Source organism: Homo sapiens, chromosome 18 (assembly GCF_000001405.40).
Source record: "Homo sapiens chromosome 18, GRCh38.p14 Primary Assembly".
Classification (NCBI taxonomy): domain Eukaryota; kingdom Metazoa; phylum Chordata; class Mammalia; order Primates; family Hominidae; genus Homo; species Homo sapiens.
This window is the reverse complement of record NC_000018.10, coordinates 1,395,095-1,409,666: the sequence shown is the minus strand read 5'-3', so window position 1 is coordinate 1,409,666 and position 14,572 is coordinate 1,395,095.

Below are 14,572 nucleotides of genomic sequence, written 5' to 3'. Positions count from 1 at the left end.
ATAGAAGCGTTTTGGATGTTCCTTGTCTTCTTTAACACTTGTTACTCTCTTTTTCGTCTTAGTCATTCTGGTGTTTATGTAACTTGTTGCGGTTTTAGTCTACATTTCCCTTTTATCTAATAATGTTTTGTGTACCTTTTATATGCGTATCAATCATTTGGAAGTCTACTTTCTGTAAAGTCCCTTTTCAAATCTTTTGTATATTCTTCTTTGGTAGTTTGCTACTGTTGAGTTGCAGCAGTTTTGTGTGTGTGTGTTTTTTGTGTCCTGTTTCTGGCTTACATTTTCACATTCTTAATAGTGTCATTTGCTGAACAAAAATTTTTAATCTTAAACTAGTCAAAATTCTCATTTTTCAATTATGGTTAGCACATTTAATGTCCTGATAAATAATTAATTGTCTACTCCTAAAACATTAAAGATGTTTTCCAATGTATTTTCCAAAGGGCCGTATTGTCTACTTTTTCCACCTAAATCTGAAGTCTCTTGTTTGGTTGTGTGTGTATGTGTACGTGTGTGCGTGCGTGTGTCTGTGTGGGTGTGTATGGTGTAAGAATCTCAATGTTCTTTTTTTAATATCAATATTCAATTGACTCAATACAATGTATTGAAAAGACTATTGTTTCCATGGTTCCTTGCACAAAATGACTTTGTTAGAAATAAGATGATGCCTATCTTTGTACCAATAACATACTATCTTAATTACCACAACTTTTGAATAGATCCTCTTATTTGTTAGTGTAGGCCTTCAGTTTGATTCCTCTTCTGAAAATCACCTTGGCTATTTTTGGTCCTTTGTATTTCAAAAGAAGTCTTAGAATTAGCTTGTCAAGGTCAACACAGAAAAAAGCAGGATATTTATTGGTACTCATTGAAACTATAAACAAAATTGGAGAGAACTAACATCTTTTATAGAAAGTAAAAAAGGTCCACAAATTCCATCCTTTCTTATAATCATGCTTTTGCAATGAAATTTTACAAGGTTAGGCTTCAAGAAGCATTGTGTTTACTTTCTCTCTTTTGGAACTCGGCCAAGGCACCATATGAACAAGCTTGGGATAGTCTGTTGATTATGGGAGACAAATGCCCCTATGTTACTATCATCTCTTGCCCAAATTAAAGCCAGACATCTGTCCAATATGTAAGTGAAGTAATTCTCCAATCAGATTTCAGTTGATCTACCAGATGACCATAGATGCATGTTAGTCAACACCTGTTACTCTCTTTTTCATCTTAGTCATTCTGGCAAGTAAAAATAAGCTGAGCATGACCTAGATCAGCGGAACTTCCCACATGACCAGACTCATGATCAATGATAAATGGTTGTTATTTTGTCTCTAAATGTGGAGGCAGTTTGCTATACAGTGATTTCTAACTGACACAATGTATTCACAATATAGTGTCTTTCAATCCATGAACGGTATGTAACTTAATTTATTTTGTCTTTTTAATTTTTGTCAATTTTGTATTGTTCAGTGTAGAGATCATTTTAATTTCTATTTCTCGATAATTTTTAATACAACTGAAAATTACATGGTTTTTAAAATTTATTTTTCTAGTTATTTGGTTTAAATTATAAAATTGATTTTTACATATTTAATGTGTATCCTATTACTACGCTAAAACCATTTTATTAATTTTAATAATTTATAGAGTCTTTAAAATTTTTTATTTCACAATTCTATTTTGAGAATAATGACAGCTTGGATCCTTTATTTCTAATCCTTATTCCTTTGCCTTCTTTTAATTGCCATTTTGCACTGTGCTGAATACCCAGCACAATTCAGGGTAAAGTCTCAACAATTTACTATAAAATATGATGCCTCTGATAATTCTTTGTTATATCAAGAAGCTTTTCTTCCATATGTACTTTGCCAAGAGTTGTGGTTTTTATTATGAATGCTTTCTGAATTTATCAAGTGCTGTTACTAAATTTATCGATATAATCATTCAATTTTTCTTCCTTTTTGTGTTAACATGATGAATTAGATTTTCTGTTTTGCAAATAATAAACCACTCTGGCATGCTTGAAATGTATTCCACTTTTATGTGATATATTTACCCTTTTAATATTCTTGAATTCTCTTTGCTAATATTGTATTTACAGTTTTTGTATCTTTGTTCAGGAAGGAGACTAATCTGCAAGTTAGTTCCTGTCCTTGTCAGGACTTGACTTCAGAGTTACACTGGTCTCTCCCTTTCCATTCTCTGCAAGAGTTTTTATAATATTGGTGTGTTGTGGTTTTTTTTTTTTAATTTAGCTAAATTTACTGTTGAAGTCATTGAGCCTCATGTTTTCTTCAAAATATATATAAATAAAGTACAATTTTTTTTTTTTTTTGAGACGAAGTCTCGCTGTCGCCCAGGCTGGAGTGCGGTGGCGCGATCTCGGCTCACTGCAAGCTCCGCCTCCCGGGTTCACGTCATTCTCCTGCGTCAGACTCCCGAGTAGCTGGGACTACAGGCGCCCGCCATGATGCCCGGCTAATTTTTTGTATTTTTAGCAGAGACGGGGTTTCACCCTGTTAGCCAGGATGGTCTCATCTCCTGACCTCGTGATCCGCCCGCCTAGGCCTCCCAAAGTGCTGGGATTACAGGCGTGAGCCACCGCGCCCGGCCTAATAAAGGACAATTTTTAATAGCCACTGGACTATTTAAGTGATCTCTTCTGTCAGTTTCTGTAAGTTGTATTTGTTAATGTCTATTTCATTTAAATTTCTAACATCAGTGTGTACTTGTTTAGAATATCTTCTTGTTTTTAATTTCTGTAGAATATACAGTGATGTCCACTTTTTAACTGTTGATATTAATAAGTTGTTAACTTGTATTTTTTCTTTTTTCTTGACAAAGTTATTCCGAGTTTATAAATTTTGTTATTCATTTTACAGTGCCGTTTTGATTGTTAATTTATGGTTAGAATTTTTTTCACTTATTAATTTCTACTTTTGTCTTTATTTTTTATATTGTTTTGCTTTTCTTTTTCTAAATTCTTTAGGTTGAATATAAAATCATTGATTTTTCATCTTTTTTTCTTTTCTAGTGCATGGAAACATAACTACTTATGAATTTTTCACTTATCTTTTTTTTTTTTTTTTTTGAGACGGAGTCTCGCTCTGTCGCCCAGGCTGGAGTGCGGTGGCGCGATTTCCGCTCACTGCAAACTCCACCTCCCGGGTTCACGTCATTCTCCTGCCTCAGTCTCCCGAGTAGCTGGGACTACAGGCGCCCGCCACCACACCCGGCTAATTTTTTGTATTTTTAGTGGAGACGGGGTTTCATTGTGTTAGCCAGGATGGTCTCGATTTCCTGACCTCGTGATCCGCCCACCTCGGCCTCCCAAAGTGCTGGGATTACAGGCGTGAGCCACTGCTCCTGGCCCACTTATCTTTTTTATTACTGATATCCAACTAAATTTCTCTGTGGTAGTATAATATACTATATCAAACTAATATTTGCGAAGACTTTCTATCCCGGTACACGGTCGGTTTTGGTCAATGTTTCATGTGCACTATACTTGTTACTTAGGTCAGTTTTGTTGACTTTGTTTTACAGATTTCTTCTGTCATAGAATTTTTGTCTACATTTTCTATTGGCTATTAAGAGAGCAATGTTAAAGCTTTCTACTATGATGTTATAATTATTTTTTTTTTTAGTTTGGTCAGTGTATGTATTATATATTTTGAAGTTATAATACCAAATGCATAAAAATTTAGAATTGTAGTATCTTCTCAGCAAATGTATCCCTTTATAATTTTTAAATATCCTTCTTTATCTCTAGTTACCTGTTTTGATTTAAATTATACTTTTTCTTGAATTAGAATGGGCTTAGTAGAGGTGCTTTTTTCTTTTTCTATTATTATATTACTATTATTTGCATAGCATTCTTTTTTTCTTTTTTTTTACTTTCAGCCTTTCTGTTAAAAGCAGTTTTTTGTATGTGGTATGGCAAACATAACCTTTTGTTTAAAGTCCTTAGTATATCGACTGCTATCTTTTGTTGCTTAATTTCCATTGCCTTCAAAGCCAATGTTTCATATATTTTGTTCATTTATTGGTTGTTTCAGATAGAAGAATAAATCCTGTTCCTCCCTCTTGGTTAAAAGTGCACATCTGTCAATTATCTGTTAGAAAGATTTATAATAAAAACAAAAAAATCTTTAAATGTACTTAGGTAATTATTTCTGTGCCCTTCATTCCTTTATATTGATCTACAGTTCTATCTGGTATCATCTTCCTTTTGTTGGAAGGATTGACTTTACCATTTCTTTTATTCAGGTCTACTGGCAATGAATACTTATAGCTTTTGTATATTTTACATTGGCTTTATTTTGCCTCCTTTTTTGAAAGACTTTCCCTGGATATATAATTCAAAATTGATTTTTTTTCTTTTAGTATCTTAAAGATATTGTTTCACTGTCTTTTGATTTGCACTGCTTACATTTTTTTTTCAACAAGAACTCTTCTTTCATACTTATCTTTTTTCCTTTATATATAGTGTGTCTTTTTTTCCCCCTGTGTTTAAGATTTTTCCATCATCTCTAGTTGTGTTTTTACATGCCTTAGAATAGTTTTATTTATGTTTTCTTGTGTTGGGGTTTAATAAGCTTCTGGACTCTTTGTGTATTTAAAATGTTTCTCAAATTTGAACAACTTCAGCTATTCTTTTTACAGATTTTTTTTGCCTCACCCCTCCATGTCCTCTGTGTCTTCAAGTTCACCTATCTTTTCTTCTTCATTATCTAATCTGCTGATAATCACATGCAGTGCATTTTTTCATCTTAGAAATTGTAACTTACATATGTAGATATCCATTTTGGGTCTCCTTTTTATTTTATATGTGTCTATGTAACATTTATTCTTTCCTCTAGCTTCTTGAGTGTATGAAACACAATTATAGTAATTTTTGTAATTTGCTTGTCTACTAATTCTATCATCCATGTAATTGCTACATCAGTTTCAAGTGAATGATTTTTCTTCTAATCATGGATTGTATTTTCTCACTTCTTTGCATGGCTAGTAACTTTTAAATGAATGCTAAATGTGAATGTTACCTTATTAGTTGCTAGATATTCTTGTATGCCTATAAATATTATTGAGCTTCGTTCTGGGATGCAAAAAAGTTATTTGAAAATGGATTGACACCTGGGGGTCTTGCTTGTAAGCCTTGTTAGGTGGAGCATAGCAGCATTTAGTCAAGAATTAGTTTTTCCCAGTATTAAAGCAAGACACTTTATACTCTACTTAATGCTCAGTAAATTCTGAAGTTTTCTACTCTAGCTATTTGAAACAAGTGCTACTCCTGGTGTTATGTGAGCTTTGGACACTGTTTCCTTTATATTAAGTATCACCTAACTTTTTTGGGGGATGTTCAATGTCATGAGAGCCATTGTTCCACATTTTGGTTTCTTTTTCAGTTGATTCAGGCAGTAGGTAAAGCTAGTCCCTGTTACTTCATCTTTGCTGGAAGCAGAACTATATAATTTGCACTTTAGATTATAACATTTAGTCACAAGTAAGATTGTGACTAAAAAGGTGAGAACCTGACAAAAGTCACATAGTAACACAGTGATGGGTGGGGTTTGTGGCCACCTCACTTTGTGGCCATTGTGACCGTTCTTTTTTATAAGAAGGATGGTGGCAATGAACATACAAAGGTTAAGAGCAACTGACACGCAAAGAAGAGCATGCACAGACACTAAACAACCAGGGGTGAATTTTGCCAGACATTGCCTGTTAGTACTTAGCACTACTCCTTCCCTTCTAAGCTTTTCCTCTTTTCACATGCTAGAAGACTCTCTTGTCAGCAAAGTCCCACTGTAAGTTCTGACAATTAGGCATTTGCATAAAATTAGAAGAGAAAAAGAAACTATAATTTAATATTCTTCTTCAGATTCCAGCAGTAATCTAGTGTGCACTCTTATTGAATAAATGGCATTGAAGGAAAAGAGAATTATGATCCGAATATAGCCAGAAAACAATGTGTGCCTCTTTGCAGCTGTGTGGCAACAAGAGGCATATTAAAACAGGCTCCTGTGGACACAAAAATAGCCTCATTTCAGTTCCTAATCTTTCAGTAATACCATCTTCCTCCCATTTGTTCCTCTAGTAATTACAAATTTCCACCCTGATAATTTATATTAAATATGTCTTTTATCAAAAGATCTACAATGCTATCTTTTACTGACTTAATTTTGTTATGGTATTCCACTAATGTATGAAGAATTACTGAACGAATAAGTTAATGAGAAATAAAATAAGGAGAAAGAAGAGGTTGAAAGGAGAGAAAACATTACAAGAAAAGTTGAAAAAAAGAAGGAGATGAAGGAATTTGTCTTACACTGTTGATTTTTGGCATATTTTGCAAAAACCTTTTCTGATAATGCCCATTTTCGTATTGGATAGCATACTAAGGTATTGACAATTCTATAATAGTTTAAGTTTCTCTTTTTTATTTTAAGCATATTCAGTTTTTAAGAATATCTCTTTTATGATTTTGTAACTCTCTATTGCTCCACAATCAAATTAATCATGAAAAATTATTTCTCAAATGAAAACAATAATACTGTATTATTTTATTCATATCATTCATATGGTTTAGAACCTGCATGATGACAGTATACATTTTGGTTTACATCCCCCAATTATTCTACAGCTTTTAAAGTTATCTGCAGTAACTAGCACACACAAAATATCGCATCTATCAAAAAACAACATCAGAAACATTTCTATTTACCATTTCAATGTGTGGTTTCTTCATGAAGAGGCAAAGTATCTTGTAACAATTATAAATGTTAAATGTAGCCAGTTCTACTTCTACATTCTTTCCTGCTGGCTTATGTTTGATGTCCTATGTTCATTCCATTGGCCTTTACAAAACACAGGTTTTTATGTATTTTCAAAGGGTTTTGATTTTTGCAGTGTTTCCTTCATTATGAAATGAACTAACAGTAAAACATGCAGATATATAAATATAATTAAATGTAAGGTTTCAGCAGTACCTACTGCCACTTCATTTAGCATGGTCAGGCCTCTTTGCCAAGGACACATTTAATTTATACTTGAGATTATCATTTAAGCTAAATCAAGACTATCTCCCTCTCCTCCTTCTTGACCTCTCCTCTTCTTCTCCTTGCTTGACCTCTCCTCATCCTTTTTTTCCTTCTTTATTTTGCAAAATAATTTTTAAAATAAATGAAAATATGCACATTGCAAAAAATTTAAACTTTGTCTTTACCATCTAGATACATGACAGAGAAAAGAGAGAATTAAAACTCTACTCCTCTTTGCTTCTCTACTTCTAGTGGAGACTGTAGTGTGTCAATCAAACCTTTTTCAGGACTGAGGCACTCATTCCCCCCGTTGCTGATAGTGTTGAGTGCTGAGGACTCACGACCTAGGCTCTCCCCAAGAAACGCCGTTGGACAAAGAGAACTGCCAAATGTTAACTCCTTCCAAAGGGCAGTTCACGTGCAATGATTGCTCAGGGTGGATGGGAGAGTATGAAGTCCCAGACCTTTTGCTTCATTTCAGTATTTCTGAATGGTCATCTCAACAACAGAGATTTCCAGAAGGTTGACTGAAGTCTCTTTTGCAGCTGCATCACAACTCAGCTCTGCCTTTTGCCTTCACCTACTTCACTCACTCCTTTATCGGTGTTACTTCTGAGGGCACACCCCCAACAAATCACTGGCATGCAAATTTTCATTTTATAATCTGTTCTCTAGGGAAACAAAGCTATGAAGGTTAATACCAGAAGTAGTACACAAGAACAGACTCTGAAATGGAATTTTGAAACTGGGTCATTCACTGGCTGGCAATGAGGACACTGTCACTGGTGAACAGTGAAGTCCTGATAGCACCTGGCTTCCTGTAGCGGATCACTAAACTGAGATGACAGATATTATGTCCTCTAAACCAATGGTAAACTGAGTGAGTTTCTGATAAAAGGAAATATATCTCGGGAACATTCAAGGTGCTGGATGGGGAAGGGGAGTAGTAATTATAAGATCTATGAAATACTGCTGGCAGGTATTGACACATTGAATTAATCACAAATTTAGGCAAAATGTGGAAGCTAGAGGACCTCCTAGGCAGCATCTGAAGGCTCTCATATCCTGTAGTCAAAGGGCAGAAAAAGGTGAAATACTTAATTACAAGGGTGAAAGAGAAGATTGAATTCTCAACCCCTACAAGTCTGCTACTCCAAGACAATAGGCCTGATGGGGACCTGAGTGGTCTGGACATTCTGTAGGACATCTCATTGATTCGTTCTATCGATGACATCATGTTAATTCGATGAACTGAATAAAAGGAGGCAAGTAAGTTAAACAGTGATGTTCTTAGTCGTCTAGTAGCCTCAAACATGCTGGGACTTCCCCTCTAACATAAGGACAAATTATTGAGTCTTGCTTATCACTAAAATGGGAGCATAATGACCAGTAGGGACATATTCTACACTTGGGAATGCTCTTCTGACCCATTCAAGAGTGTCAAGGAAGGCCGCTAGGTCTGAGTGGAACTTAAAGGAAAAATAGATCTCTACACAGGTCCCAGATATGCTATAGGCCACTTGCTACTTAGGTCACGTAATCCTACAGACCTAGTGGATCAGAGGTAAATGTGATGGGAAAAGATGCCATGGGAAGATGATGGTAAATCCTAGTAGGTGCATAAAAACATACAATTTAAAATGTATTCTCAGAAGGTCTGCAGCAGAGATTGATATCAATGAAATTGTTAGAGCAACTTATATGTGCTTTACCATTTTTATATCAACTATGAAATATTTATTAATATAAGAGGATATTAACTATAACAAAATGAAACCCTACACCTATCCCTACTTCAAAAACTCCTTGAGTACCTCTTTCTGAATGTATCCCCTCTCTACCCAAGACAGAAAACCAATTTTTTAAATAACATTTGCCATTTCAATGAACTTCTTTATATTTTCACTAAATATCCCTAAAAATAAACAGTATTTTTAATTATTTTATATTTCATACAAATGGTGTAATGGCATTGGTTCATCATCAACTTCTATTTTGTAGAAAATTCTGTTTGTGATATTCAATTATGTTGACCTATAGCTCCAGTTTCTTTTTTTTATTTTTTACTTTTAACACCTTGTACTATTCCATTGTGTTAAAATGTCACAATTGATTTAACTATCCTATTGATGGAAATATCAGTGGTTTCATTTTTTCCCTGTGGCACTAAACCCTTTTATGAATACTCTTAATGTACATATATGTTCATCTTTTATAGTCAGTATCACATTGTCCTCCAAAGTCAGACAAATTTGAAAAGCATAGCATCTTTTTGCTAATTTATTTTTAATTTTTAATGATATATAATAGTTCTACATATTGATAGGGTAGATGTGATATTTTAATACAAGCATACAATGTGTAATGATCAAAGAGGTGATGGGTGTCCCAATTACCCAGATTGATCATCACCTTTAAAATTTTAACATGCATATTTTACTTTACAAAGTATCTAACTTCTGTCTGAACTATACTTAGCTGGGTATATAATTCTAAGTTAATGGTGATTTTCTCTCAAGACTTTGAAGAGATTCAGCTCTTCAGATTCCTCTGTTCATTGTTTGGAAGTCTGTATTCTTTCTAGTTGTCTCAGTTCTGTGGCCCATTTTAAGAAGAGAACTCATCTTAAGAACTTCTTAAGAAGAGAACTCTTCTGCTTTAATGTTTCAGAGTTTTACTAACAGTATATTTAAAGGCGAATTTATTTTTATTTTTCTGCTTGGGTTTTATTGAATTTACTGAACGTGAAGATTTGAGTCTTTCATCGATACTAGAACATTCTCTGTTGTTACTTCTTCAAACATTCCTTCTCCCTTATTCTTTCAATTATCTTCCTCTGAAACACCGAAAGAATTTTGCATCTTCTCATCCTAACCTCCATGTTGCCTAACCTCTTATGTTATCTTTTCTTTTGTCTCTGTATCATATTTTGTGTAATTGTTCTTAAATCTGCGCTTCGGTTTACAAATCTATTTTTTTTCTAATCTGCTGCTTAACATTCTTGAGCATTTATGGCAGTGTTTATATATTTTTTTACCTAGAAGCTATATTTAGTTCTTTATCAAGCGTTTTTGTTAAATACAACCATATCTTTTGTGTTCATGTTTTTAATTATTATTTTTTCCTCCTTTAAACTTACTAAACAAATTTATTTTGTCTTTATTTGTAATTTTTATATCCGGTGCCCTTCAGGGTCTAATTCTGCCCTTTTTTCTTTCTGCTTACCATATAGTAGCTTGTATCTTGGTCATTTTAGATTATAAAACCAAGCTCAAGTGGGCTTTACATGTGGGAGGTTTTTTTGCGGCCTTATTTCAGAGAGATTTTTCTTTGCTAGAGTCATGCACCCAAAAGTATTACCAAACTGAAGCTACTTTAAAGTAAATTCTCAGATTGGGATTTTCTAGATTGCCCAAGTAGTACAAATTTGGATCCCAAACCTATGTGATGGCAGGCTTGTCAATACAAATTCTTAAAAGAAATTTTTTGTTGATAGTGTTACTTTTTGTTGTTGTTTTGTTTGCACTGAGGGCACAGGACAAGACTGTCAAGTTCCCTTGTCTTCTTCATTTTTTTTTTGTTTCTTTTTTTTTTTTTTGGAAGTTTTCTAGTCCATTCTTTCCCCAACATTGAAAGGCCCCAGTTTATGCAGAAATCTCAAGCCCCATTCCCCTCCTATATTGACACAAAGCCCCAGCCACAGTCCCTCGCATAGCCATGGAACCTAAAACTCTAGAGTATTGAGATTGGCAGACTCCTTCAGGACAACCTTCAGAATCACCACGTTAGCTTTCTGCTCCCCCTTTGTATCTGATTACTGAGCATTTCCATTTCATTTTTCTTATTCCAACTGTTCATTTTAAAGGACATTAATTATAGTTTATTTGGCATTTATAGATGCTTTGCAGTGGGACAGCTTTCAGCATACCTAATACGCCATATTGATAGATGTATGCATGTCGATTTTAAATTTGAGGAGATGATAATAATTTGTTTTCCAAGTGGTTGTTCCTAATTAATGATCTTCCAATGGAATGTGTCTGCTTTAGTCAGCATCAAGCTTATACTCTTAATCTGTTGGGGAAAAATGTACCTGGAGTACATTTTGCATTTCTTTAATTATAAGAAAGTTGACCACCTTTTCATAGGTTTATGAGAAACTTTTCTTTTACTGTAAATTGCCTATTCAAATCTTTGCCCACTTATTGGGGTGACTTTTTCTATGGTTTCGTATAGGAAGAAATTAGGTTTTGACTGTTCCATGTTGTTTAACTTTTTATTGAGATAAAAATGACATATGATATATGTCCCATATTTATTGTATACAATTTAATAAATTTTCACATATGTATACAACCCTGAAATCATTACCACATTCAAGACAATGAACATTCCCTTCACCCCCATAAATTTGACTTATTGCAAATATTGTCTCTATTTTTATCGTTTGGGTTTCTTTTTAAATTTAGATTTAAGGGTTTTTTTACTAAATTTCTCTGCAGCCAAATTTGTCAGTCATTTACTCTAGGGCTTCTTTTTTATTTTTAATGCCGTGTTCAGAAATCCTATTCCAGGTTTATTTACAAACTCACCCACATTTTCTTCCTCTATTTTCTTATGATTTCATTTTTATACATTTAAATTTTTGAGACTGCTTCTTTCTTGGGTAGCAGCCCAAAATATTCTATATAATGGCAAATTAGATATTTAAGTCAGTCAGATATCAGAATGAACAGTTTCATTTGATACAAATTACTGAATTTCAAATCAAATGAATTGCATCTCTTGTGGTATTGGCTATCATACCATACAAGAAGTTACAGAGGGTCCTATTTCTCCTAGCAACTCTGTGAGGAACGTATTATTTTGGGTCTAATTTGAGATCCATGTTGGAAAGCCTTCCTTTTTAATATGCCCATTCATAAAATTTGATATAGCATCTTATTTTATTAATCACCTAATTAATTGCTATTTTGTTTCTTAAATGACAGCTAAGTTCAATCAAGACCACAGAAAAACCCGGGCAAAAATAACAAAGGGGAACAAAATAATAAATTAAAAACTTATCACTTTTTAAAGTGCAGTAGGCCCTTCCTATCTGTGGGTTTCACATCAGTGAATTCAACCAAACAGGAAAAGAAAATATTTAGGAAAAAAAAAACCACAAAATAACAATAAAAATAATGCAATTTTTAAAAATACAGCATAAAAACTATTTGCACAGCATTTACATTGTATTAGGTATTATAAGTAATCTAGAGTTTATTTAAAGGATATGAGAGGATCTGTATGAGTTATATGCAAATACTACACAATTTTATATCAGAGACTTAGCATCTTCAATTTTGGTATCCTTGAGAGATCCTAGAATGGATTCCCCACAGATGCCAAAGAACGGCTGTATATCAACTAAGCAGTGATATATGAGAAAACACACCTCTTGGTTTCTAGCTTTTGATTAGAAGGTGGTATTTCCAAAATGATTTGTTTTAGCATTTCCTTTAAATTTCTTTTAAACCCTGAGTGTTACTTGCTCTGGCATAGGCAGCGACTTTGCCACGTCATATTTCATTTTGACAGAAGTAGTGATTTTAAAGAGGTAGTAGGTCTGACCAGTTAAATGTTCTCATCTTTAGTTTAATAAGTCTATGGGTACATTCAAACTGATTAATACACTCAGACATATTTGTGGGTTTTTGTTTCTCTTTTCTTTTGGCTGGGGGTTGGGGGACAGTCATTGGGTATTGGTCAACTTATGTGCAGCTAGTCAAAAGTTATTGTTTAGGAGAAAATATGTGGACAGTTGTAAAATTCAGTTACACTAGAGCAGCAAAGGGTTTTAACCAATTGATGTGTGCAAGGAAAAGTGTTTCCTCCTTCTAGTGAGACCAGAGGTGAGAGAGAGAGGCGGCAGAGGAAATGGAAAGGGGAAAAAGTAAATTGAGGAAGAAATGACTAGACTAAACAGGTAATGAAATAAAATATAAAACACACGTGAGAGGGGATCTTTTGAAACAAGAAAAAATAAAAACAGAAGATATGTGGGAAGTAAGAAAAGAGAAGTTAATGGGAGAGCTGAGAAGTATAAAGATCAAAGAGAAAAGAAAGAAAAAGACAAAAAGAATCAGAGAAAAAGAAAAAAGAATTGGAAGAAATATAAATGGCAAAGACAAATTAAGTGAAGGTAAGAGGAACAGAAAACTGAAAAAAGGAAAAGAGAAAGGATGTGTAGCAAATAGTGTTGCAAATACTGACACAGATTGATAACTCATGTGTGTAATTCTCCCTAGTCCATGGATTTTACCTTTGCTCACAGATAAATGCAAACACAGAAGTGGTTAAGTTAATAGAGCACTTATAGGCAGTGTCTTTGAAGAAGAAATGTTACAAGACAGTACTCATGAAGTAATTTTTTTAATTACAGCAGATAATTAGTAATTTCTGTTGTTTTTACTTGACCTTAAAATCTATTTTTTCATTAGGGAGACTTTAAATTTTCAATAGTACCTGAGTTTTGTTTAGCCTCACAACTGCACTCATGCAAACGAAATGAAAAATGTTTTCCTGTGAATTGCCATTCAAATCTTTTGCATATTTTACCTAGTGATAGAAGAGAAGATTGTGTGTTTCTGACATAGGAGAGAAGATATTAAAGTAACGCATAAGAAAATGAGCATTTTTGTTCTGTTAGATTTCTGGTAAAAGACTATTTTTTGCCCCAGCAAATATATTTTACTGTGAACAGCTATGAAGAAAGGTACACCCCTGTGGCCTCTGTATGCTCTAGGTGTGCTTGCTTTACAAAAGAGGTATATGTGAGCAAAATAGGCTGTAAATAAAAATCACGAAAAATAAGCCCCATTTCTTCATAAATTTCATAACAAACATCAGAAATATGTTCTCTTCAGGGAGGGATAGGAATCTAACTTCTAATTTTGGATAGCACATAGATACAGGGATATTTTGCCTCATTGCCTGTGTTATTGAGTTTTAAGCCATATGTTCCTGGCTTTCATTCATAATATTTACACCACTGGTGAGATGATAAAATTTGAGCACAGTGAGTCCTATTCAGACTTCATTTAATAACTCATCTTTATCTTAGAATATATTCATCAGACTAAATCATATGATTCAAGGCAACTTTTCTTAAACCAGGCAGAAAGACCATTCTGAGCCAACATTACAGAAACAAAGTTTCCTCTTCTATTTGTGTAAAGAGGAATCGAAATGATAGTATCAAGAATAGAAGTAACATTTATGTATTAATATATTTTTGTCTTTCCTAAAGTGTAGGATTTGAATATATTTCCTATTCTAGGTGCTGGCATCTGAATTATTTCCTCTCTAACGCGTTTCCATATCCCACACACATCCTCTACCCCTCATGTTCCACTTGATTGAAAGGGAGATCACATGAAAACCAAATGACGTCCTTACATCAGTATGCTCCTCTACTACCAGCTCCAGAAAGAGACGCAGATGCCCTGACAGCCGTCTGGCCCAGTCCTCTCCATTCATTC